Here is a 2,612-nt window from a genome sequence, read left to right on the forward strand (position 1 = left end):
CACAAAACTCTATGACATGCAACAGCGGACATTTAGTGTGACATTCACAGGTCTGCAGATCAGCTGGCTAATCCCGGCTGGTCTCAGCTGCATAGCTTATTGGGTTTGGTTCCCATGTAATGCACACGGGTTTGTTCTGGGACCCAGGCTAAAGGGGCACTAACTACCTGGGGCATGTTCATCTCATGTAGATTACCGTGGTAAGAGCCAAGCCTAATCATGCAAGCACATTCCCCAGGTCCTCTAACATTACACTGGCCCAAGCAAGTCACATGGTACCAAACCCAATACCAATGGTTCAGGGATGTTTGCTCTGCCCACAGTGGGGGTGGGAAGAGAGTGAATATTTTCTGAACAATAATCCAAACTGTCATAACATAGATGTTGCAAACACCAGGATGGGGCCATGAGTGACGGGGAAGAGGACAGCAAACCAGACACTAAGGTTGTCCAAGTATACACTGAATAAGTAGGACCTGTAGAGGCAATTAAGCACAGTCTTCCTTCCCACACAGCCCATGCAAACATGTTTTGTGGAGCTGGATCTTTCCCCTATCCCTTTATGAAATCTAAGATACAAATTTTTCAGTTATTATTAGATAACGAAGTCCTCTGTTTGTTTTAATTGCAAGAAGTCTGATTTTTAGTTATTAATATGTACAATCTCATGTCATAATCAAAACTCCCCATTTTATTCAAAATTCAAGTTTCTCTCCTTCCCAGTTTAGACCTGCTGAAGATGGAAAAGAGTAGTGGGGTTGCCTTCCCTAGTTCCCTGCCTACTCCCCACACTCAGCAGTTTGCTCCTGGCTTATTGAGAATGGAAGTGGTAGCAAGGGGCAAAGGAGGATGTGGAGGCAGGCAAGACCTTATTTGACCTGCACCAGTGAAACTGGCATTGGCTTTCTCTAATGTTTAAACATCTGGTGAATATTTAAAGCCAACGAGTATTGGCAGTTGCCTCTTTCAGGAACACATTAGTGGTTTCTTCAGAGACATTTGCCTCCTCCTCTTATTTCCTGTCACTTCCAGTCTCTTTATGGAAAACTGTTCTTCCTTCAGCTATGCTTACAAGTGCCCTCTAAGCACCAGCCTTGGTTTCCCCAAAGACTCCAGGGACATAGAAAAGCTCTTTGTGTCATTCTCTTGAAGCTAGTCCCACCAAGTTAAGGAGAGGGGACTCCCTCCCATCTTTCTCCATGGAGAAGGTTAAGACTCAAGGTACACTAACAATTCTCTCCAAAGAGATGCCCCCTCTAGTATACCATTTCCTTCTTGGAGCTGGATATCCTCTCAGGGCTGCAAACCTGGTTCTCGATCCTTCTCTGCATCTCCTGCTTGGGAATCAAGCACCTTAAACTGCTATGCAGGGCAAGTACATGTCTTGGATCTTCAGTGTGAACGGAGGCTAAGAGTGTCTCATTTTAATGCTCTGCTGCACGTGAGTGTAAGAAAGTAACTGAGAAGTCACAGATGGCAGAGTGAGTGGAGATAAGATTTTCATTCTGTAGAAGCAGGACCCTAGAAGAGAAAGAACTCTCTCCTTCAGAACTCTTTTCCCCAGATTTATAGTATTGGATTCCTGAAGAAGGAATCAGAAAAGAACTACATGAGGTTACAGCTTACCTGCTGGTATTAGAAAATGTAGAATGCAATTTTGTGGTTGGTCACTAAAAGATTCACTAAGATCTGAGCTGTGTCTTACTCAGAGTAAGAACTACGATGAAAGCCTTGAGCTGTGAGAGGGTGAAGACAAAGACCCCGCTGGCCACTATGAGGAGAAGAGGAAAATCTGAGACTGTAAAACAAGACAAAGCCATGGGAGACTTGAATTTTAAATCATTCAGATTACATTTGCAAGAACAGATATGATATCTTCTTTGTCTTTGAACCTTCAGTACGTAGGTCAGTGCCTGACCCCCAGTAAGTGCTGAAAAGATGTGCAATTGAATTGAATAGGATATATAGTATATAGTAAATACATACTGAATTGAATTGAACACACAGGATGCAATAAATACAATACATAATAAGAAAGTAAAAGCTCAAGGTGGTATTTCATAAAGTGTTTGTCTGATGAACAGCTATGCTTGCTCATTTTCTGACAGGATTATTGTTTATGTAGTTTCTCCTTTTGCCCTGGCTGCCAGTTAGTTGAGACAACTGCCTCAACTAATTATTTTAGCTCTCAGGCAATTCTGTATATTTGCATGCTTCTCTTTTTGAAGAGTCTCAATATTTCTTTCTATTTTATTAATCTTATAATGTTGCCTAATATAATTTTGGAAATGACACAGAGTACATTTCTGTACTATGCTCCTTGTTCTACAGTGAACATCAAGGGCCTCATCAATCACCAGTTCCTGGCATTGAGGTGGCCATTTCAGGACAAAGGCAAAGCAACAGGAGACAGAGGTTGATTATTTCTGAGAAAACTATCCTGTGCTCTGCTGGAAATTGGTCCCTTGCAACCCCAAGCACGAGGTGTCCTGAGAGGTTAACAAATGGTTCCCCTTTTAGAAAAACCCCAAAGGCAGAAGAACCACAGGGAGACAAATAGAACCTGAGCTAACACAGGGTTATGCTGTCAGCATGAACACTGGCTGCCCCAG

The sequence above is a fragment of the Homo sapiens genome, chromosome 1, assembly GCF_000001405.40.
Source record: "Homo sapiens chromosome 1, GRCh38.p14 Primary Assembly".
Taxonomy (NCBI): Eukaryota; Metazoa; Chordata; class Mammalia; order Primates; family Hominidae; genus Homo; species Homo sapiens.